Below are 21,185 nucleotides of genomic sequence, written 5' to 3'. Positions count from 1 at the left end.
AAAGAGAGATAACCCTGAAGGTAGAAAGGAACTTTTGTTTGTTAAAGCTTCAGGAAGGGTGACTTTGGGTTAATGGGTATCATGACTTTGGGTTAATGGACCCCTGTCCATCAGTGGAGCGGGCGACCTCAAGAGGTGGGGAACCTCTCATCACTGGCGGCACGTAAGCAGAACCAACTTTTCCATTTGCCCAAGATGCCACAGAAGGAATGTTTCAGTGAGGGAGGTTGGCCTGGATAATTTCTCTACAAGCTCTCAGACTTGGGAACTTTTGAAAGGCTCAGGCAAGTACTTGTGCCCCAAAGTATCTTTGGCAGGGTTTTTTATTTTTATTTTTTTAGATGGAATCTCTGTCGCCCAGGCTGGAGTGCAGTGGTGCAATCTCGGCTCACTGCAACCTCCACCTCCCAGGTTCAAGTGATTCTCCTGCCTCAGCCTCCTTAGTAGCTAGGATCACAGGTGTGCACCACCATGCCTGGCTAATTTTTGTATTTTTAGTAGAGACGGGGTTTCACCATGCTGGCCAGGCTGGTCTCGAACTCCTGACCTCGTGATCTGCCCGCCTTGGCCTCCCAAAGTGCTGGGATTCCAGGCGTGAGCCACCATGCCCAGCCTGGCCCAGGCTGGAGTGCAGTGGCGCGATCTCGGCTCACTGCAGCCTCCACCTCCTGGGTTCAAGCAATTCTCCTGACTCAGCCTCCTGAGTAGCTGGGATTACAAGTGTGCACCACCATGCCTAGCTAATTTTTGTATTTTTAGTGGAGACGGGGTTTCACTGTGTTGGTCAGGCTGGTCTTGAACTCCTGACCTCATGATCCGCCTGCCTCGGCCTCCCAAAGTGCTGGGATTCCAGGTGTGAGCCAGGCAGGAGGTTTTTATCTGACTTGTTTCAAGCTGCAAGTCTGTCTCCTGGGTGGGGTGTTTGCTTTTCACAGAGGAAGGGTGGCCCAGGTTGGGTAGGCTGGAGTAGAGGATCGGACTGCATCAGTTCTGGTGTGACCTCTTACGGTTGCCTTACTTTGTTCTCAGATAAAGCAAACGCACAAAAATTTGTTTTCTGGGCTTAACAAAACAGGAGTGACCAGTTAGGTCAGAAGACTGGAACATCAGTGAAGTGGATGTGTGGTAGGCGGAGGGGAAAGACTTGCTAGAAGCCCTCCCGCTGCGGGGGGCTCCTTCAGAAATGGCTCTGCCTCTAGCAGCTCTGCCTGGACACTGAGCAGGGAAAGGGTCCCGACACTCATTAGTAACAGTGGTAAGTCAGAGAACCAGCCCTGAGCCTGTGTCCCCAGCCCTGCCGGGGGCCAATGCCTACTGAGCACTTCCCACAGGCCAGTTCCTGGGTGATGAGTTTTACCAACATGTATTTCCCTTTTACTTTTGAGGAAAATGAAGGTGGGCTCAGTCACAGAGATAGTGCATGCTCCAAAGCCAGTGTCTTTCCTGTCTCCTCGGTTGGCCTGCCCCATCCTAGCGATGTTGTGAAGATTGGGACTACCTCTAAAGCAGCACACAGTGGCTGCTCAGTAAATGCTCAACACTGGTAGGTGCTGTGGGCCAAGGTGGAGAGAAACGGGCCATCTGGAGCAGGAAGCAGCTGACTGCAGAAGTCCTGTCTGGGCCCCCAGCAGTCTGGGTGACTGAGCAAATCTTGGAACCTCTCAGTCTATTTCCCCATATTACATAACACCTGGCTACAAAAGGGCTTTTTTCTTTTTTGAGAGGGAGTCTCGCTCTGTCGCGCAGGCTGGCATGCAATGGCACCATCTCCGCTCACTGCAACCTCCACCTCCTGGGTTCAAGCGATTCTCCTGCCTCAGCCTCCTGAGTAGCTGGGATTACAGGTGCGCGCACCACACCCGGCTATTTTTTGTATTTTTAATAGAGACGGGGTTTCACCGTGTTAGTCACGCTGGTCTCGAACTGCCGACCTCTGGTGATCCGCCCACCTCGGCCTCCCAAAGTGCTGGGATTACAGGCATGAGCCACCACACCCGGCCTACAAAAGGGGTTCTTCTGGGACCCGATCGTCTAAACTCTTCTCCATTTGACCCCCTCCATCACTACTCCACAGCTCACCGGTCTTTTCTCTGTTCCTTAGGTGCCCGTCCTGTCTCCAGGCCTTTGTACATACCATTCGTCTTGCCTTGTTTGCCCTGCCCTCACACTTGGCACATCTGGCACCTCCCCTGCACATTCTAAGACAGCATCCTTCCGTACCATTTGACCCACCCCGTTTTTTCCACCACAGTACTCATCCATATTATAACCCTTTATTCACATTTTGTCTTTTATCTCAGTCAGGAGGAAGCGAGGGCGGGGGACTCTGTGTTGTTCCCTACCGTACCCTCAGCGCACAGTCTGGTTCAGAAAATACTCGAGAGTGAATGAGAGAATGAATGAAGGAAAAAATGAGTGGAGGAGGGGTCTTTGGCCGAGCTAAAGAGCCTGGGCGCCGCGGGGGCGGGAAGCTCTAGGCAGTGCTCGTCGCGCACCGCCCCCAGAGTAAAGCGAATTTCAGAAGAGGGCGTGGGGCCCTGGGCGTGTGGGGCCCTGGGCGTGTGTGACCCGGGCCAAGTCCAAGTCCGCAGGAGGCTGCGCGGGAAGCTGCTTATAGCTACGACCCGCGGCCCCCGGCCTCTAGCCCCACCGCCGCCAGGCAAGGGCAGGGACGCCAGGTCAGTTACAGGCTCGGGTGCGGCAGCCGGCGACCAAAGGCACTGGGCGGGAGGCCGGATCCAAGGGGATACTGCTACGTAGCTGCAGCGGAACCGGCAGGCTCTGCGGCGAAACACACTGGGACTTGTAGTTCTCGGCTCCTCTAGACGCTGTCGCGAGCCCCCAGATAAAGAGGCACTTCGCGGTGACGGGGAACTACATTTCCCAGAAGGCCGGAATATGTTGGGGGTCACCGGGAAAGCGCCCCGACTGGCGGCACTTACCCGGCTCTATAGGTCCGGTTCCGGGGGCGCGTGGCTGCAGCGGGGCCCGCGTGGTGCCTCCTGAGGCGGCCCCCGGATGAAGAGATCTGGGAACCCGGGAGCCGAGGTAACGAACAGCTCGGTGGCAGGGCCTGACTGCTGCGGAGGCCTCGGCAATATTGATTTTAGACAGGTACTGACCGCACCGGACCGCCGCGGAAACTGGGAGAGGGATCTGCAAGGCCCGAGGGGCGTGAAGGCTTGCGGCGCCTCAAACGCTGCGGGGCGGGGCCGCCAGTTCCCAGGCAATGGGGGCGTGGCGTGGCGGGGGTGGGGGAGCCGCGTGCGGGAGCGCCGGCTGGTGTCTGTGTGTGTGCGTGTGCGCGCGCGTGTAAACCTCAGATTGCGTGTGTCAGAGACGGGGGCGTTCCTGAGCTCGTCTGATTGTGTGCCTGTGTGTGGCCCTGAGATTGTGTGAGACTCAGAGGTTGTCCGTGTTAGTCTTTGGGATTGTGTCTCACTGAAATTATGTGATGCTCTGAGAGTGTGCCGGAGAGTGAGTGTGAGTGTGTATGACCGAGGCTGTGTGTGACTGAGCGTGGGCGAGGGTGAAGGAGGCCGATTATATGTTTGGGAGTGTGTTGTGTGGCCCCTGCTCCCGTCCATCCCCCAGGGTCAGGAGGCCAGCTTTTGCCCAGAGGCAAGAGAGTGGTGGGGACCCTGCCTGTCTCCCAGCCGGCCCTGGGCAGGCTGCAGACCACCACCCAGCCGTTTCGGGGCCATAATGGGTGCGACCGGCCCCAGAAGCTGGGGGCCTGGCTTGCCTGCTGAGGCTGCCCTCTGCAGAGTCCTAGGCCAGAGAGTGCCTGTCCTGGCATCTCCCCAGGCTCCCAATTCCAATGGATTCCAATTTCCAACCTCTCTTGCATTCTCCCTTCTATCAAAGCTTCCTCTTAGATGCTCCATTTACCTTTTTCATCACCCACTCTTCATGAAGCCTGTAAGGCACATCTCTGCCCCAAGCAGCTTCTAATCCAGTTCTTTCGCTCCCTTCATTCCTTACTCACATGTGCATTTATTCACTCACTGATCCAGCCAGTATTGATTCAGGGCCGGCTGAGGGCCTCGTGTCACTCAGAAGTTTAAGGGCACTTCTGTCACTGAGCTTTCATTCTAGGGAGGGAGATTGTAGGCCTGGAAAGCCAGAGAGTTCTCTGAAGGAGCTAATACCAGTTAGTGTTTTGAAGAGTAGCTGATGGGAAGGCGGGATTGAAATCCCAAGAGAGCCTGTTGCCGTATCTGCGAGGGAGGGACCTGGGATCTGAGAGCCGAAAGGTCAGTCAGTGGGGCAAGATTCCCCAGAGGAGGGAGGCAGTTGCGAAGCCCTCCAGGAGGCACAGGAGGAGATGGGCCGCTGGCCCTGAGGGAGCGCAGGACCGTTGGCCAGATGGGTGCTCAGCAGAGGACAGGAAGAAGACTATTACTTTAGTAAACTGTCCATTGAATTACAACATGCAGTCAGATGAGTGATGGGTCCTACCCCTACAGCTCCTGCATTTTCACCAGGTGAACCTGTATCTGTTAATCCTCAGATCAAGATGGGGGGTCATGATCACCTCCAGGGGCTGCCCTCAGAAGCCACCGTGTAGAAGGGTGGGTGGGGGAGCCATGTAGAAGGGGGGGCAGAATGCAAGGGGGCAGTGTCCCTTTGCAGACCCATCTAGGGGCCTGCCCCAGGGCCTGCCAGTGGGCAGGGGAGACTAACCGGGTGTGTGAGGGGTGGGCTTCTCTGCTCTTTCTCCTTTCTCCCCAGGGCTGTGCAGCTGGAGAGAGCTGGGGCTGGGGTTCGGGTCAGGGTGACCCTTGTTGACTAACATTCTGCTTTTCTTCTGCTGTCCTTGTTGGTGCAGTTAAGCTTCCTGTTGCCAAGGGATTTTTCTTAAAGAAAGAAAGAAAGAAACATACAACATACAACATTACATATTTGCTTATGTGGTAGCTCTACTCCCTCCTCAATCAAAATCTCCGGTTTTAAAATATGTCAGTCCCTGGCCTGGGAGAGTTGCAAGGTTTTTGTTCACCCCATGGGCGTCTGAGCTGCAGGATCTCCGGTGCTAGCCCTGTGCTGCTGTGCTGTCCAGTAGAAACATCGTGTGCCACATGCATAATTTAAACCTTTCTAGTAGCCATGTTAAATTAGTGAGAAGAAATGGAAAATAGCAAAGAAATAGAAAAATAATTTTGACAATATATTTTATTGTTACCAAAATATATATCAGACATATTTTGTCCTGTGGCATTCCAAGCTTGTGGCACTGCCTGTGACCAGTGGCTGCCATGTCATACCAAACAGTGCTGCTCTGGGTACCATGCCCTCCACCAGCTCTTTTCTGGGCCTGCTTCAGCAGGTACAGAATCTTGCTTTTGTTTTTAAAAAAAAAAAAAAAAAAATCAGCTGTTGGGGCTGGGCACGGTGGCTCACGCCTGTAATCCCAGCACTCTGGGAGGCCAAAGCAGGTGGATCACCTGAGGTCGGGAGTTTGAGACCAGCCTGACCAACATGGAGAAATCCCATCTCTACTAAAAATATAAAAAGTTAGCCAGGCGTGGCGGCACATGCCTGTAATCCCAGCTACTCGGGAGGCTGAGGCAGGAGAATCACTTGAACCCCGTAGGTGGAGGTTGCAGTGAGCTGATATCACGCCATTGCACTCCAGCCTGGGCTAGAAGAGCGAAACTCTGTCTCAAAACAAAAACAAACAACCCAAAGAATCAGCCATTGGGCTGAGGAGTTAGGGTGAGGAGTGTGCCCGCTGCAGCCCCACTGACTAAGGCCCTTTTGCTCCTTGTTGCCCTCCCTGTCAGGATTCTGGAGCCTTGCTCCTCAGCTGGGCAGCTGCCTGAAGGCAGTGGGGTGGCAGATGGATGAGAGCAGGGTCTGCATCTTGCTGTCCACAGGCCGGGGCACCTCCAGGATTCAGAAGATGACTCCAGTAGGGCCTAGGGGTGCGGGCACCCAGGCTGGCAGAGCACACTGAGGTCCTCAGAGCAAGGGCACATGCCCAGGTCTCAGGTCCCTTTTCCATAGCGAATCACCTGCTCACCAGAGCGGGTGAGTGATGATGTCTCCAGCTTGGTGTTGGTGTCAAGAAGAATGGGGACAGTGAGGGGGTTATGGTGAAGACCAGAATGAGATGAGGGGTGTAAAGCTTTATGAAGTATCGAGTGCAGCCCACCTAAGGGTGGTCCTCAAGAAGGCAAAGCCCTTGTATTCAGAAGGCTGAGAGACCTGGGGCAGGGGACACAGGTCCCTGTGTGTAATATGGGCACCCGAGTAAGACCCTGGAGGCAAAGCTCCGATGGCCGATGCGGGGTATCTTGACTGCCTTTCAGGGAAAAATGTTTGCCTTTATCCAAAATCGTTTCCAAAAATCTTTTGATTGTATTACTTTAGTTGAAATAAACATTAGGCCGTTATATTAGATGAGTTACTCTGTGGTGTTTTCAAGGCCGTACATTTTGTCTTCAGTAATTTTGGCATCAGCCAAGACAGAGCAGGGTTGAGGCTTTCCGTGGCTGCTCATCAAAACAATGACAGAAACTCTTGGAGCTTGTTTCCCCTGCCTCTGTTGAGATGACACTGTTTTTCCTCATTAAGCTGTAAATATGAATTCCATTGATGTTTTGAATGTTGAACTAGCTCTGGATTCCTGGGGTGATCTCTGGCTGGTCCTAACATATTATCCTTTGTATATATTGCTGGATTTGATTTGCTCTAATTTTTGGGGGGATCTTCTTTCTTTATCTGGTTTCATTTGATTTAATTAATTTATTTATTTTAAGACAGAGTCTCGCTCTGTTGCTCAGGCATGTACTCAGGAATGCAGTGGCGTGATACCAGCTCATTGCAACCTCCGCCTCCCGAGTTCAAGCAATTCCCCCACCTCAGGCTCCCGAGTAGCTGGGATTACAGGTGCACCTACCACCACACCTGGTTTTTGTTTTGTTTTGTTTTGTTTTTTGTATTTTTAGTAGCGACAGGGTTGTTGGCCAGGCTGGTCTCAAACTCCTGACCTTAAGTGATCCACCCACCTTGGCCTCCCAAAATGCTGGGATTACAGGCGGTGAGCCACTGCACCCGGCCTGGTTTTAGTGTTAGGGTAATACAGTGAGTTGGGAAGTATTGCCTCCCTCTTCCATATTCTGGAAGAGATTGTGTGGAATTGGAATTATTTTTTCCTTAAATGTTAGGCAGAATTCATCCAGGAAACCATCTGGGCTCAAGGCTTTCTTTTTTTAGGTTTTTAAGCCATAAATTCAAATCCTTTAAAAGATAAAGGATTATTTCTTGAATGAATTTTGACAGTTGTGTCTTGCAAGGATCGGTTCATTTCATCTAAGTTACTTAATTTGTGTTATTCATAGTATTCCCTTATTATTACTTTAATGTTTGTGAGGTCAGTAGAGAAGTCCCCCCTTTTATTTCTGATATTGATATTTTGTGTCTTTTCTCTTTTTTTCTTGGTCAGGCTGGCTGGAGGTTTCTCAGTTTTATTGGGAAAATAAATTTTCCCCAAAGAACCAGCTTTGGGTGTAATTTTTTTTTCTCTATTGTTTTCCTGTTTTCAATTTGATTGATTTTTGCTTATCTTTAATTTTTTGTCCTGCCTCCTTTGGGTTTAACTCATTCCTCTTTCTCTAATTTCTTTCTTTCTTTTTTTGAGACGGAGTCTTCCTCTGTTGCCCAGGCTGGAATGCAGTGGTGCAATCTCGGCTCACTGCAACCTCCGTCTCCCGGGTTCAAGCAATTCTCCTGCCTCAGCCTCCCAAGTAGCTAGGATTACAGGCGCCCTCCACCACGCCTGGTTAATTTTTGTATATTTAGTAGAGATGGGGTTTCACCATGTTGGCCGGGCTGGTCTTGAACTCCTGACCTCAAGTAATCTGCCTGCTTCAGCCTCCCAAAGTACTGGGATTATAGGCATGAGCCACTGCGCCCAGCCACTCTTTCTGTAATTTCTTAAGGGCAAAGCTTATATTCCTGACCTGGGACTTTTCTTCCTTACTAATAGAAGCCCTGCCTTAGCCGCATCCCACAGGGTTTCATGTGTTCTATTCTCATTTTCATTCAGTTCAAAATGTTTCTAGATTTCCCAAGACTTCCCATTTGGCCCTCGCGTGCATTCTTTCCACGATCGCTTTCTGTGACTGATTTCGAGTTTAATTCTGTGGTGGTTTGGGAGCATACTGTGTATGCTTTCTATTCGTTTAAATTTAAGGTTTGTTTGGTGGCCCCAAGTGTGATCTGTTTTGGTGACACCAGAGACTGCAGGCTGTTCCCAAGGCTGCCATGTGCTGTGGTCAGGTCCAGCCACTGGATGGCGCTGCTCAGGTCAGCTGCGTCCTCCCGATTTTCCACCTGCGTTTTTTTTTTTCTTTCTTTCTTTCTTTCTTTCTTTCTTTCTTTCTTTCTTTCTTTCTTTCTTTCTTTCTTTCTTTCTTTCTTTTTCTTTCTTTCTTTCTTTCCTTCCTTCTTTTTCTTTTTCTTTCTTTCTTTTTCTCTTTCTTTTTCTTTCTTTCTTTCTCATTAGATTTTTTTTAATGGGTCTCAAAAATCTGTGACAATTTTTTTTTTTTTTTTGAGACGGAGTCTCGCTCTGTCGCCCAGGCTGAAGTGCAGTGGCGCCATCTTGGGTCACTGCAAGCTCCACCTCCCGGGTTCACGCCATTCTCCTGCTTCAGCCTCCCGAGTAGCTGGGACTACAGGCGCCTGCCACCACGCCCAGCTAATTTTTTTAATTTTTTAGTAGAGACGGGGTTTCACCGTGTTAGCCAGGATGATCTCGATCTCCTGACTTCATGATACGCCCGCCTCAGCCTCTCAAAGTGCTGGGATTACAGGCATGACTCACCGCGCCCGGCCCGACAAATTTTTGGTCAAGTTGTTTCCATTCAAAAGTACTGATTTTAAAAACTAATAACTTAAAACTGCCACAGGCAAAAAAGAAAACCAAAGTGGTCCACAAAACATTTTCCTTTCCTTCTAAAGGTTTTATGATGCATTGTTATCATTAACCAGTCTTTTACTACTAAATTTAAATGGTCAATTGAAACAAACAGTTCTGAGACGTTCTTCACCACTGATTAAGAGCGGGGTGGCAGGTATTAGGGATAATATTCATTTAGCCTTCTGAGCTTTCTGGGCAGACTTGGTGACCTTGCCAGCTCCAGCAGCCTTCTTGTCCACTGCTTTGATTCTCTCAGTCACTGAGAGGACCATGGAGGGCCCTAACAAGAACTGTGGATTTGTCTTTTCCACCCTTTAGTTCTGTCAGCTTTTGCTTCATACCTCACCTCACTTCTTTTTGTTGTTGTTGTTTGTTTTTGAGATGGATTCTCGCTCTGTCGCCCAGGCTGGAGTGCAGTGGCATGACCTCAGCTCACTGCAACCTCCGCCTCCCAGGTTCATGCGATTCTCCTGCCTCAGCCTCCAGAGTAGCTGGGATTACAGGCGCCTGCCACCACGCCCGGCTAATTTTTGTATGTTTAGTGGAGACGGGGTTTCACCATATCGGCTAGGCTAGTCTTGAACTCCTGACCTCAGGTGATCCACCTGTCTTGGCCTCCCAAAGTGCTGGGATTACAGGCGTGAGCCACCGCGCCTGGCCACTCACCTCAGTTCTTAATCTGAAGAGTGGGCATGCCTCGCAGGGTTGTCACCAGGACTCGATGACACAGTTGTCACAGCCAGCGTCTGTCTAGCCATGCCCCCCGCCAGGCACTGCGCTGAGTGCTTTCCTTGCACTTTCTCATTTAATCCTCCTGGCGTCCCATGGCACCTCTACCATTCCCACCTCCCAGGCTAGGAAGCGGTGCTCAGCGAGGGGAGATGGCTGCCCGCCGTGGCACGGGCGTCCTTGTCTCATCAGCACTCTGTTCTGCCTCCTGCAAGTCCCTTGCCAGAGCTTGGCAGCTGGTTCACTTCCGAGTGAAGGTTGGCTGGCTTATTGTTACTATTGTCTTCAAAATACAATGTGTATTTACACAGAGACACAGTAGCACCTAGCAGGTTCTGTCCTGGGCCCTGGAAGGTAAAGGTAAAGAAAAGGAAGATGGCTGGGCTTGGTGGCTCACACTTGTAGTTTCAGTACTTTGGGAGGAGGCCGAGGTGGGAGACTCACTTGAGCCCAGGAGTTCCAGACCAAACTGGGCAATGTGGTGAGACTCCATGTCTACAAAATAAAAAAAAATTAGCCAGGTTTGGGCCGGGTGCGGTGGCTCACGCCTGTAATCCCTCGGCACTTTGGGAGGCCGAGGCAGGCGGATCATGAGGTCAGGAGATCGAGACCATCCTGGCTAACACGGTGAAACCCTGTCTCTACTAAAAATACAAAAAAATAGCTGGGCATGGTGGCGGGCGCCTGTAGTCCCAGCTACTTAGGAGGCTGAGGCAGGAGAATGGCGTGAACCCGGGAGGTGGAGCTTGCAGTGAGCAGAGATCGCGCCACTGTACTCCAGCCTGGGTGATAGAGTGAGACTCCATCTCAAAAAAAAAGGAAAGAAAAAAGAAAATGGGGTGAAGCTCACAACCAGCAGAGGAGTGAGAAGAGGCAGCCCAGCGTGGAGGCGAGCAGGGCCTTGAGAAGCACCGTCTTACCCGTGGGCCCCACACCCACCCCTGCTGGAGCACGTGAGCTGTCAGTGCCTTTTGAGTTTGGTGCAGGTCACACTTGTTAATTGAAGAATGAATGACATTTCACCCTCCTGAAAGGAGTTATGGATCTAGGGAACTGGAGCAGCTGCCTGCCATTTCGTTTTACTGTGGGATCTAGAGACCACAGTCGCATTGTGACATTCTAACTTCCACCCCTCCTGCCATGAGGTGGTTTTTGCTGCCCAGGGCTTGCCTGACCTCAGATTCCAGCATCGGGGTCTTCCCAGGAGGGTCCCTCCAGAGAGTGAATGGTGAGAGAGGGACCTGTATTAGTTGACATTAAGCAGACAGAGTAGAGGGGCCGCCAGCCTCGGCCCTGAGTGGGCCCTGTACTTTTACATCTGTTCTTGCTTCTGTGCAGAAGGTAACCTCAGGTGGCCTGTCTCATCACCCCCATTCCACTCAAGGGAAACCTGGGCTTAGATTGGTCATGGGAGGCTTGCCATGGTCCCTCACGGTGGGTGGTGAAGCTCCCAGCTCAGACAGTGGCTGCCAAAGGCCAGAGTCCTCTGAGCCAGGTGGCCTCTTATGTGGAAAAACAGGGTTAGGGGGCTGGCTTAATATGAAATGGCTTCTCCTCTTCTACCAGAGAATAAACTTTTTAAAAAATATTTTTATTTTATTTTATTTTTTGAGATGAAGTTTCACTCTTGTTGCCCAGGCTGGAGTGCAGTGGCGTGATCTCGGCTCACTGCAATCTCCACTTCCTGGGTTGAAGCGATTCTCCTGCTTCAGCCTCTCCAGTAGCTGGGATTACAGGTGCCTGCCACCACGTCTGGCTATTTTTGTATTTTTAGTAGAGACGGAGTGTCACCATGTTGTCCAGGCTGGTCTCGAACTCCTGACCATCAGGTGATCTGCCTGCTTTGGCCTCCCAGAATGCTGGGATTACAGGCGTGAGCCACTGGGCACGGCCAGAGAATAAACTTCTTCTTTTTTTTTTTTTTTGAGATGGAGTCTCGCTCTGTCATCCAGGCTGGAGTGCAGTGGCATGATCTCGGCTCACTGCAACCTCTGCCTCCCAGGTTCAAGTGATTCTTCTGCCTCAGCCTCCCCAGTAGCTGGGACTACAGTCGTGCACCACCATGTCCAGCTAATTTTTGTATTTTTAGTAGAAACGGGGTTTCACCATATTGGCCAGGCTGATCTCTGACTCCTGGCCTTGTGATCCGCCTGCCTAGGCCTCCCAAAGTGCTGGGATTACGGGGGTGAGCCATCGCGCCCGGCCCAGAGAATAAACTTAGAGGAAAAAGACTCTGGCACACTCATCCTTATGTCTTTGTGCCAGGCACAGGGCTCTAACCCAAAGTTGCCCTAAATAAACGTTACCCGAGTCAGCTTATGGTGCCAGGGCATGAGGGCAGCTCTGGGGGCAGTGGGGGCTGCAGCGCTGCAGGCAGATTCTGCAGGGGTGATGGATCCCAGGAGGACCTGTCCCCTCTCCAGCAGCCCCCACCCATTCCCCTGCCCTTTGTTGTGTGTGGTGTGTGGCCTGGAATCGATGTGACTTTGCCTGTCCAGGCCTGCTGTTTGTCCATGTGTCACAATGTGACATGTTGACCCACTGCAGATCATTCCCTGACCACAGAGCGCTGCTCCCGAGAACCCTGCACCCCTCAATGGAGTAAATTACCATAAAGCCTCTTCCTTACCCATGCTTTGGGGTGTTAACAGCTGAGGCTATTCGTCGGTGACCTGTGGGACTCGAGCTATTCCTGCAGCTCAGCAGACCTCCTGGCCGTGGTGGGTAGCTCCTTTCCTTTAGTCAGATTCCGAGGCCTCTGCAACCTGGAGCCTTGGAGTGGGGGTTCCATTAGAATTACTGGGTAGCAGAAAGCCGGGACCTCTGTTGTATGAAGGAGGTTGGGGCTGGGAGTGGATGGGAGACCGCCCTTTGGTCACAGGTGTGAAGGGGAGGCCATCAAGGGAGACTCTGACACCCGGAGGCAGAGCCTGGATGTGGGACCCAGGACTCTCCTACTCTGCTCACGTCTGACCTGGATTTTTGGTTCTTTTTTGCCAATCCAGTTTCAGGAGGGAGGTCCACCCTCCTGAGGGGGGTTTTGGAAATGACAGCTATGAGAAAGGGACTATCATGTCTCTGAGTGGGGATCGGGGAGCTGGGAGGGGCTTCCCTCTGCTGCCTAGAATTCCACTCTGAACCATTAGTCATTCTTTCCAGCGAAGCAGGTGCTTCTCCGGGCAACATAAATCCTCCTCAAGGTGACTGAAGTGACCGGATGGACACCACCACCCTCCTGAGACAGGCTGACCTGAGGCCATTGGGACCTGGGCACAGGAGGGAGAGGGGGGAGGGGGTGGATACGTTCCAGCTTTGACCAGTTCAGCCCTAATTGGGAGACTCAGGTGGATGTCAGCTGCTGCTGGGTTCCCCCAGTGTTAGTTGCTTAATCTTTCAGTGCTCAGTTTCCGTCCTTCATCTTGGCTCCCACAGAAGGTGAAAAAAGCATATTTCTTGCTCACTTTCCCAGTTTCCTTGGGTTTCAAGACCCAGAAGCACTCACTTTTATCCTTGTCCCATTTTTATGGGGCTTTCTGTCTGGTAGGGCTGGCCTTGCTCAGGCTGGCTCTGCTCCTCACTGCCTGGGGTCTGGAGGCTTTGCTCTTTTATCTGGAAAGTAGGCTAACAACAAGGCTTTACTTTTAGGGTGGCTGAGAGTATGGCCAGAGATAGGTCTGCGCTCACTGACAGGTCCTGTGTTTTCTTAGATCCCCTAGAGTGAGGGCCTCCTTAGTGGAGCTCAGCTAAGGTGACTAACATCGAGTTGAATTCCTTATGAGAGGCAGCATTTCCCCCAGGGCCCAGTGGGGAAGTAGTAGAGAGATCATTTACACTCAGGAAGATGCACCTCTCTTAGCTGTAGAGTTGAAGGGGCGCCAGTGATATGGGAAGTGTTTTTCCTGGCCCTGGAAAATGCCCTCTGTCCCTTCCTGGCCCCAGGCTCAGTGTCCCTAGGCCTTTCCTGCTTTCCCCTTTCCCCTAGCTGAGCGGGGCTCTGCTCTGTGACTCACACTCTGCCCTTTCTCCTCTTTGGCTTGGCTAACAGCATGCTGGTCCATAGGTAAGGGTCCATGGGGAGGGCTCTGGGGGAAGTCCAAAGGCAGGAGGCCACTGAGGTCCTTTGCTGTGCCCTGGGGAGCAACCGGCAAAGCCAGGGTTGGAGGAGGGAGTGGATTAGGTGGTTGTGTAAGAGGCGGAATAACAGATGGGCCACGGGAGGATTGGTAATGGGAATGAGGCAAGGGAGGGGTAGGGTGAGGCCAGGTTTTGGCTGGGGGCTGAATGGGGAATGGGGAGTGGGAGGGATGGGTGAAAACTGGCCGCTGGCCCACTCATAGGGTCTGCTGTGCACATGCAGGGAGATAACTCACTCTTGGTGCACTTCGTAAGTGCCAGGCATGACCAAAGCCACGACTCTTCCCTGAGCCAGCTTTCCACCCTCCCCCCACCAGGCTGTCAAGGGACAGGGCCTTGGAATTGGATGCGTGTTTTTTGTTTTTGTTTTTTTTTTGAGACGGAGTCTCGTTCTGTCACCCAGGCTGGAGTGCAGTGGGACAATCTTGGCTCACTGCAACCTCCGCCTCCCAGGTTCAAGCCATTCTTCTGCCTCAGCCTCCCGAGTAGCTGGGCCTATAGGCGTGCGCCACCATGCCTGGCTAATTTTTGTATTTTTAGTGGAGATGGGGTTTCACCACATTGGCCAGGCTGGTCTCAAACTCCTGACCCTGTGATCTGCCTGCCTAGCCTCCCAAAGTGCTGGGATTACAGGCCACCATGCCTAGACTGGAGGTGCTTAATAGATGTTATCATCAAGCTGAAGATAAGGCCAGGCCTCAGGTTAAGCCCCAGGTTCTAGAAGCTTTGGGGCTGCATCACAGGCCTTCCCTCCCCTCCCTTCCCCTCCCTTCAGGGCAGGACAGCCTGCTCTGAGCCTGGCCCAGTTGTCCTTCATGAGCGGCCAGTGTCTGCTCTGGGGAGTGTGGGCCTAGGCTCACAGCCCCAGGCGTTGGGAGGCACCTGCTGGAGCGCCAGGCCTTGTTGGCTGCAGGCGCTGGGCAGGCACTGCGCAGTTCCCAGAGGCTGTGGCCACAGCTAGGCAAGTGGTGCTTCCCTGGGTTCCTTCTTCCCGCCATTTGCGGAGTGGCTTTTCTTAGTCATTTGTTTACTGATGCCCACACCTGCTGCCGTGGCCACTCTTTCACTCAGCTATTCTGTCTACAGATTCCAGTAGCAGTGCACCTTTGGTCCTATGTCAGCTCATTCATCCCTTAGGAGGGGCCTGCATTGGAGCATTTTGTTTGTTTGTTTGTTTTCAGATGAAGTGTTGCTCTGTCACCCAGTGGAGTGCAGTGGCGCATCTTGGCTCACTGCAACTCCCACCTCCCGGGTTCAAGTAATTCTCCTGCCTCAGCCTCCTGAGTAGCTGGGATTATAGGCATGCACCACCACGCCCAGCTAATTTTTGTGTTTTTAGTAGAGACGGGGTTTCACTATGTTGGCCAGGCTGGTCTCAAACTCCTGACCTCAGGTGATCCGCCCACCTCGGCCTCCCAAAGTGCTGGGATTATAGGCATGAGCCACCACGCCCGGCCTAGAGCATTTAACATCTGCTTAGCCCTGCCCTTGGCCCTACAGTGAGATGATTGTTTGCACCTCAGGGATGCAGGCTGATCAGGTGGGGAGGCCACACGTGGGAAGGATGGCAGGCCATAGCAGAAGATGGCTTTATACTGATAGACGTCTGAGGGACATCCCATGGTCACACCCTGCAAGTGACCTGGTAGCAGGCAGAGTTATGTCAGGAGACTGTCGTTTGGGGAAGCAAGGATTGGAGTGGAGGCTGCGCTTGCCCCCCAGGGCTGGCTGACCCTGGGCAGAAGCACCATCTCCTCCCCACCGCTTCCCCAAAATGTGGGAGATCAAAGCGCTCTTTGAAGGAATTTACTGTATTTCCAAATGCAATAGAACAAAACACACCATTATGGGAAAGATCACAGCTCTGATGGACTTTACACTTATTTTTTTTATTTTTTGTTTTTAATTTTTTAAAAAAATTTTTATTATTATACTTTAAGTTCTGGGGTACATGTGCAGAACATGGAGGTTTGTACATAGGTATACATTTGCCATGGTGGTTTGCTGCATCCATCAACCCATCATCTACCTTAGGTATTCCTCCTAATGCTATCCTTCCCCTAGCCCCCCGCCCCCTGACAGGCCTCGGTGTGATGTTCCCCTCCTTGTGTCCAAAAATGTGGAACGCTTCATGAATTTGTATGTGTCACCCTTGTGCAGGGGCCATACTAATCTTCTCTGTATTGTTCCAATTTTAGTATATGTGCTGCTGAAGCGAGCACAACTTTACACTTATTTTATAATTTAGTATTTTTAAAAAATTTTGAGTTGCATGTGGAGAGACACCATAATATTTTTCAGTGCATTTTAGAAAAAGTTTTTTATTTTAATTTATTTTTAAATTAATTAATTGTTTATTTTTTGAGACAGGGTTGCCCAGGCTGGAGTGCAAGTGGCACGATCACAGCTCACTACAGCCTCGAACACCTGGGCTCAAGCGATCCTCTTGCCTTGGCCTCCCAAGTAACTGGAACTACGCCCAGCTAGTTTTTACATTTTTGTAGAGACAGGGTCTCACTATGTTGCCTAGACTGGTCTCAAACTCCTGGCCTCAAGTGATTCTCCCACCTTGGCCTCCCAAAGTGAGCCCAGGAGTTCAAGGTTGCAGTGAGCTATGAACGCGCCACTGCATTCCAGCCTGGGTGGCAGAGGGAGACTCTGTCTCAAAAAAAAAAAAAATTGTAAAATCTGAATATTTGATACTATATTTTATGTTGTTTTCTAGAAATTTCTGTCTAGGTGCTGAATCATGCAGCCTGCTCTTCTACTCAGCCGTGTGTTTCAGAACGTTTCACAGTGCTGTGTGTAGACCTCGTGCTTTTTTTTTTTTTTTTTTGAGACGGAGTCTCACTCTGTTGCCCAGGCTGGAGTGCAGTGGCGCGATCTCTGCTCACTGCAAGCTCCGCCTCCCAGGTTCATGCCATTCTCCTGCCTCAGTCTCCTGAGTAGCTGGGACTACAGGCGCCCGCCACCATGCCCGGCTAATTTTTTGTATTTTTAGTAGAGATGGGGTTTCACCGTGTTAGCCAGGATGGTCTTGATCTCCTGACCTCGTGATCCGCCCGCCTCGGCCTCCCAAAGTGCTGGGATTACAGGCATGAGCCACCGCGCCCGGCCGACCTAGTGCTTTTAACTGCTGTAGTTTAGCTGCTGTAGGAATGGGCCGTGGGTTTTTTTTTTTTTTCTTCATTTCTTTGGTTGCTGGACACCTAAGTTGTTTGTCATTGTTCCTGACGTTTTCATGCAAGATGATGGCGGGGCGGGGGCAGTGTCCACGTGCCCCCCGTATGCGGGTGGCGTGGCCGGGATGTGGGCACACACTTTTTCAGTTTACCCCGCCCCACTCACACCCTCGTGTGCACTCAAGATTGTCCCCTGTCGAGTGTGGGCGAGGAGAGGCACACCACTATTGTTTTAATTTGCTTTTACCTGATTCCTGGTAGGTTGAGCATCTCTTCACATTTATCTCAGCTGCTTGGGTTTCCTCTGGGGCCTCTGAGAACCCTCATCCAGGAGGGTCTCGGTCACACCAGGGTTGGTGTCACCTCCCTTCAGGGTGCCAGGCACCCCTCTTCAGAGGTGCTGATTTCCTCATCTGGCATCCAGGCACATTTCTGCGGCCGCCCTCCCAGGACATGACACAGCTCATTAGGTTTCAGCTTTTTATCTTCCCTTTTATGAGACTACACTGTAGTAACCTTTGCCGGACTTGGATGTTCCCAGGCCTCCCAGTGTGTTCCCAGAGGGTAACTTTTTCTCCGACTCCTGGGGGCTCACAGGCCCTGCTGTGTCTGGGTGGTGCTGATGCTAGCTCTGTCCCTGCAGGCAGACTTCTGCGTTATGACCCGGCTGCTGGGCTACGTGGACCCCCTGGATCCCAGCTTTGTGGCTGCCGTCATCACCATCACCTTCAATCCGCTCTACTGGAATGTGGTAAGTGATGTGCCTGACACTGTCCAGACGGGAGTATCTCACTGCTTGGTGAGCCCCACATGCAGGGGATCGCGGTGGTTGCTGCTGGCTGGCCAGACAGACAGACAGCTCTGCTCTTCCCTCCCGTGTCTGTCGCTGGCTGGTGTGGAGTACTAGGCGCTTCCTGCCGTCTTGCCTTGGGGATCCAGCAGCCATTGGGCTGCCCAGGCTGGCGTCAGGATGGTCCAGGACTGTAGGGGTGGCCCTCCTACCCTCACAAGAACCTGCAGGAGAACGCTGCCATGGTGGGGCTGCCATTGGTCACATGTGCCTGGCAGTCTGGTGGCCTTCTCATGCATGAAGTGGGTTGCCCAGGAAGTAGGGGCTCTCTTCCCTCTCTGCCATGTCACACAGTAAAGCCACTTGCTTGTGAATCTCCCACCCCTCGTGTGTTCCACAAACATGGTTATTTTTCCCACATGAGGCTTCCTGCAAAACGGCCTGCGCATTCCGGACCTAGGCGAGCTGGGTGGCAGGAGCAAGCCGGCATGAGTTGAAAGGAAGCCACCAGCGTGGCACCAGCTCGTGATGGGTGCCAGGGGATGTTTGGGTGCCCGGGCACCAGCACCGAGGGGTGGGTGGACTGCATGGGAAGTGGGCTCTGGGCCCTTCGAGGAAAGTGTGGGAGGGGAGGGCCGTCAGTTCCTTCTGCAGCCTTTCTGAGATGCCTCCCACACCTCCCAGACTGTGGGGTGAAGCTCTTGGGGTTCCTGGCCCGCTCTCCCAAGGCTGTCTCTGGGGGGTGCTTCTGGGCTGCTTCCCGGGGATCCTGCTGGGGGAGTGGGTGGTCCTGGGGCTCAGCGGGGGTTGGGCTTGCTGATGCAGAGCCCTGAGCGTCCTGTGATCACCCCCGAGGCTAATCTGCAGAGTAAGGCCAAGATCAGCGTCAGCAGCACATTGTTCCAGACAGTTTTCATTTAAGGTGAACCCTTGATCCCAGGGCAGAACAGGACATGTTTTTCATTTAGTTTATGACTTGAGATTTTTCTCCATCTGGTGAGAGAAGTGGGTGGGGGCCAGCCTGCTCATGTCAAAGACAGTGCATTCCAAAGAATGCCCTGTTCCTGCTGTCCTGAACATGCTGGACACACTCCGAGGATGGATGCTCTGGCGGCCCACAAGGGAGGGGCTTCGAGGGGAGGTCCAGAGGTGGGAGTGAGACTGGCGAGCTTGGTGTAGCCAAACACAGGCCTCCCGGACACCCCTTTCTCCTGAGAAGCCTTGGCTGGGCTGGGGAGCACCTGTACTCTCAGCCACACCGTCCCCAGCTGGCCCCAGCCTCCTGACATGGGCCTCTGGAGCCAGGGCTGCAGCCGAAGTGCCTGGCCATCCTGGCGTTTCCTCCCACTGCCTGGCCTGCATGCTTCCTCTCTCCTTTCACCTTTGCACACACCCAGCATGCCAGAGATATGAGGTGGTGAAGGGTGAGGAGGGTGTTTGGAGGCTGAAAAATGGTCCTGCAAAGACGTCCACATCCTGTGAAGGTCTCTTATATGGCACACACACAAGGATCTTTGCAGACGTGATGAAGTCAAGGAGCTTGAGCTGGGGAGATGGCCCTGAGTTACCCAGGTGGGCCCTAAGTGCCATTGTGTGTGTCCTTTTAACAATGGAGTGGCACAGGGACATTGAAACACAGGAGTGTCTCTTGTCACCATGGAGGCAGAGGCTGGAGTGACCAAGCCACTAGCCAAGGAAGGCCAGGCCCACCAGAAGCTGGAAGAAGCAAAAAATGGAGTCTCCCCCAGAGCCTCTGGTGGAAGCACAGCCCAGTCGGCACCTTGATTTTGGCCCAGTGGTAACTGATTGGGGATTGCTGTTGTTTTCAGCCCCTAAGTTGGCAGTCATTTGTTACAGCAGCCACAGGAAGCGAGGCCAGGGTATTTAAAAAGCCAAAGACCCCTGCTGGAAGACGTTGTGGGCCTAACCTTTGGAGTGTTGGGTGTGCCACGCTCTTGGCTGTCCACAGTCCTTCTCTGAGGGAGATGTTGGGCTCTTACAGCCGGAGGAGGTCCCTGCCCTCTGGCTTCCTGCAGGCCTGACGTTGACCAGCAGTCATTGAGGTACATATGGGTCTCCCAGCACTGGGAGCTTGGCTGGCTGAATGCATAGCAGGTCCTGAGGACGCTTTTATTTATGCACAAGCCCCCTCAGGTCACTTCCCACTAGCCTAGCCAACAGTGTGTTTTTAAAGTGAAGTTCATTGTGAAGGTTCTCAGTGGCTCATGAATGGCAGAGTGGTTAAGATGCAGTAAGATTTGGCCGGGCGCGGTGGCCCACGCCTGTAATCCCAGCACTTTGGGAGGCTGAGGTGGGTGGATCACCTGAGGTCAGGAGTTCGAGACCAGCCTGGCCAACATAGTGAAACCTCATCTCTACTAAAAATACAAAAATTTAGCCGGATGTGATGGTGTACGCCTGTAGTCCCAGCTACTCGGGAGGCTGGGGCAGGAGAATCTCTTGAACCCAGGAGGCGGAGGTTGCAGTGAGCCGAGATGGCACCACTGTACTCCAGCCTGGGTAACAGAGTGAGACTCTGTCTTTAAAAAAAAAAAAAAAAAAAAAGATGCAGTAAGATTTGGAAGACAGCATGTGTCTGTGTGTTTGGCATACGGTTTTTTTTTTTTTTTTTTTTTGGTCATAAGCTTTTGATTAGTCTCATTTTGAGATAGTTTTTCACTGGAACAGTTTGTGGTCATTGGTGGGAGAGGGAGTGAGCTCTTCAAAGTGGTTTCAAAAGGAGAAAAGTTAAGAAACATGTTGCAGTTCCGTGGGCTGCTGCCGGGGAGAGTATCCGGACGGCATCTGGAATGGGATGACGAGGCCCAGCTCTGTGATGCCAGAAGCCCAGTGGGTGGATCAGTTGAGCCAAGGAGTTGGAGACCATCCTGGGGAACATGGCAAAACCCTGCCACTACAAAAAATACAAAAATTAGCCGTGTGTGGTGGTGTGCACCTGTAGTCCCAGCTACTGGGTTGGCTGAGGTAGGAGAATCACTTGAACCCAGGAGGTCGAGGCTGCAGTGAGCTGTGATCACACTACTGCACTCCAGCCTGGGCAACAGAGCAAGACCCTGTCTTAAAAAACAAAAACAAAGACAGGCCAACAGGCCACAACCAGGGAAGCACTTAAATAACTTAATAGTTATCAATGCAGTTGTCCCTGGGTATCCATAGGAGATTGGTTCCAGTTCCCCGTGGATACCAAAATCGGCAGATGCTCAGGTCCCTGATGGGAAACAATGTTGTATTCGAGTATAACGTATGCCCACCCTCCCATATACTTTACATCATCTCTAGATTACTTATCATACCCAAGACAGTGTACATGCTGGGTAGTTACACTGTATTATTTTTTATGTTATTACTTTTTGTTTTTATTTTTTTCCTGAATTTTTCTTTTTTTTTTTTTTTGAGACAG

General features: G+C 52.0%; 1 protein-coding gene and 2 pseudogenes across 7 annotated transcripts in view, besides 3 other annotated features; 1 reads left to right on the top strand and 2 right to left on the bottom strand.

The window, feature by feature from the left end:
- The first annotated feature begins 2,502 nt into the window (after window positions 1-2,502).
- Window positions 2,503-21,185, top strand: part of PEMT (phosphatidylethanolamine N-methyltransferase) — an 86,580-nt gene continuing 67,897 nt past the window's right edge. For 2 of the 7 annotated variants that reach the window (NM_148172.3, NM_001267552.2), the window contains exons 1-2: window positions 2,937-3,114; window positions 17,618-17,725. In NM_148172.3, the coding sequence (NP_680477.1) occupies window positions 3,019-3,114; window positions 17,618-17,725 (204 nt within the window). In that variant the 5' untranslated portion in view covers window positions 2,937-3,018. Of the gene's footprint in view, window positions 2,679-2,936; window positions 3,115-12,198; window positions 12,379-17,148; window positions 17,539-17,617; window positions 17,726-21,185 lie in introns of those variants that run through there. The other 5 variants (XM_024450532.2, NM_001267551.2, NM_007169.3 and 2 more) reach the window with 5 other exon arrangements.
- Window positions 2,751-3,492: an enhancer, noted in NCBI's record as "NANOG-H3K27ac-H3K4me1 hESC enhancer chr17:17494467-17495208 (GRCh37/hg19 assembly coordinates)". NCBI's record gives its function as "activates a minimal SCP1, AML or CMV promoter by ChIP-STARR-seq in naive H9 embryonic stem cells {active_cell/tissue: H9 hESC(naive)}" and the evidence as "EXISTENCE:reporter gene assay evidence [ECO:0000049][PMID:30033119]".
- Window positions 2,796-3,185: an enhancer, noted in NCBI's record as "active region_11801". NCBI's record gives its function as "activates an Ori minimal core promoter by ATAC-STARR-seq in GM12878 lymphoblastoid cells {active_cell/tissue: GM12878}" and the evidence as "EXISTENCE:reporter gene assay evidence [ECO:0000049][PMID:35858748]".
- On the bottom strand, window positions 8,502-12,372 carry EEF1A1P43 (eukaryotic translation elongation factor 1 alpha 1 pseudogene 43; annotated as a pseudogene).
- RNU6-468P (RNA, U6 small nuclear 468, pseudogene) lies at window positions 15,907-16,014 on the bottom strand (annotated as a pseudogene).
- Window positions 17,299-18,044: an enhancer, noted in NCBI's record as "H3K4me1 hESC enhancer chr17:17479915-17480660 (GRCh37/hg19 assembly coordinates)". NCBI's record gives its function as "activates a minimal SCP1, AML or CMV promoter by ChIP-STARR-seq in primed H9 embryonic stem cells {active_cell/tissue: H9 hESC(primed)}" and the evidence as "EXISTENCE:reporter gene assay evidence [ECO:0000049][PMID:30033119]".

Source organism: Homo sapiens, chromosome 17 (genome assembly GCF_000001405.40).
Source record: "Homo sapiens chromosome 17, GRCh38.p14 Primary Assembly".
Lineage (NCBI taxonomy): Eukaryota > Metazoa > Chordata > Mammalia > Primates > Hominidae > Homo > Homo sapiens.
Note: the sequence above shows the minus strand (reverse complement) of the source record. Positions and strands in the feature narration are given on the sequence as shown.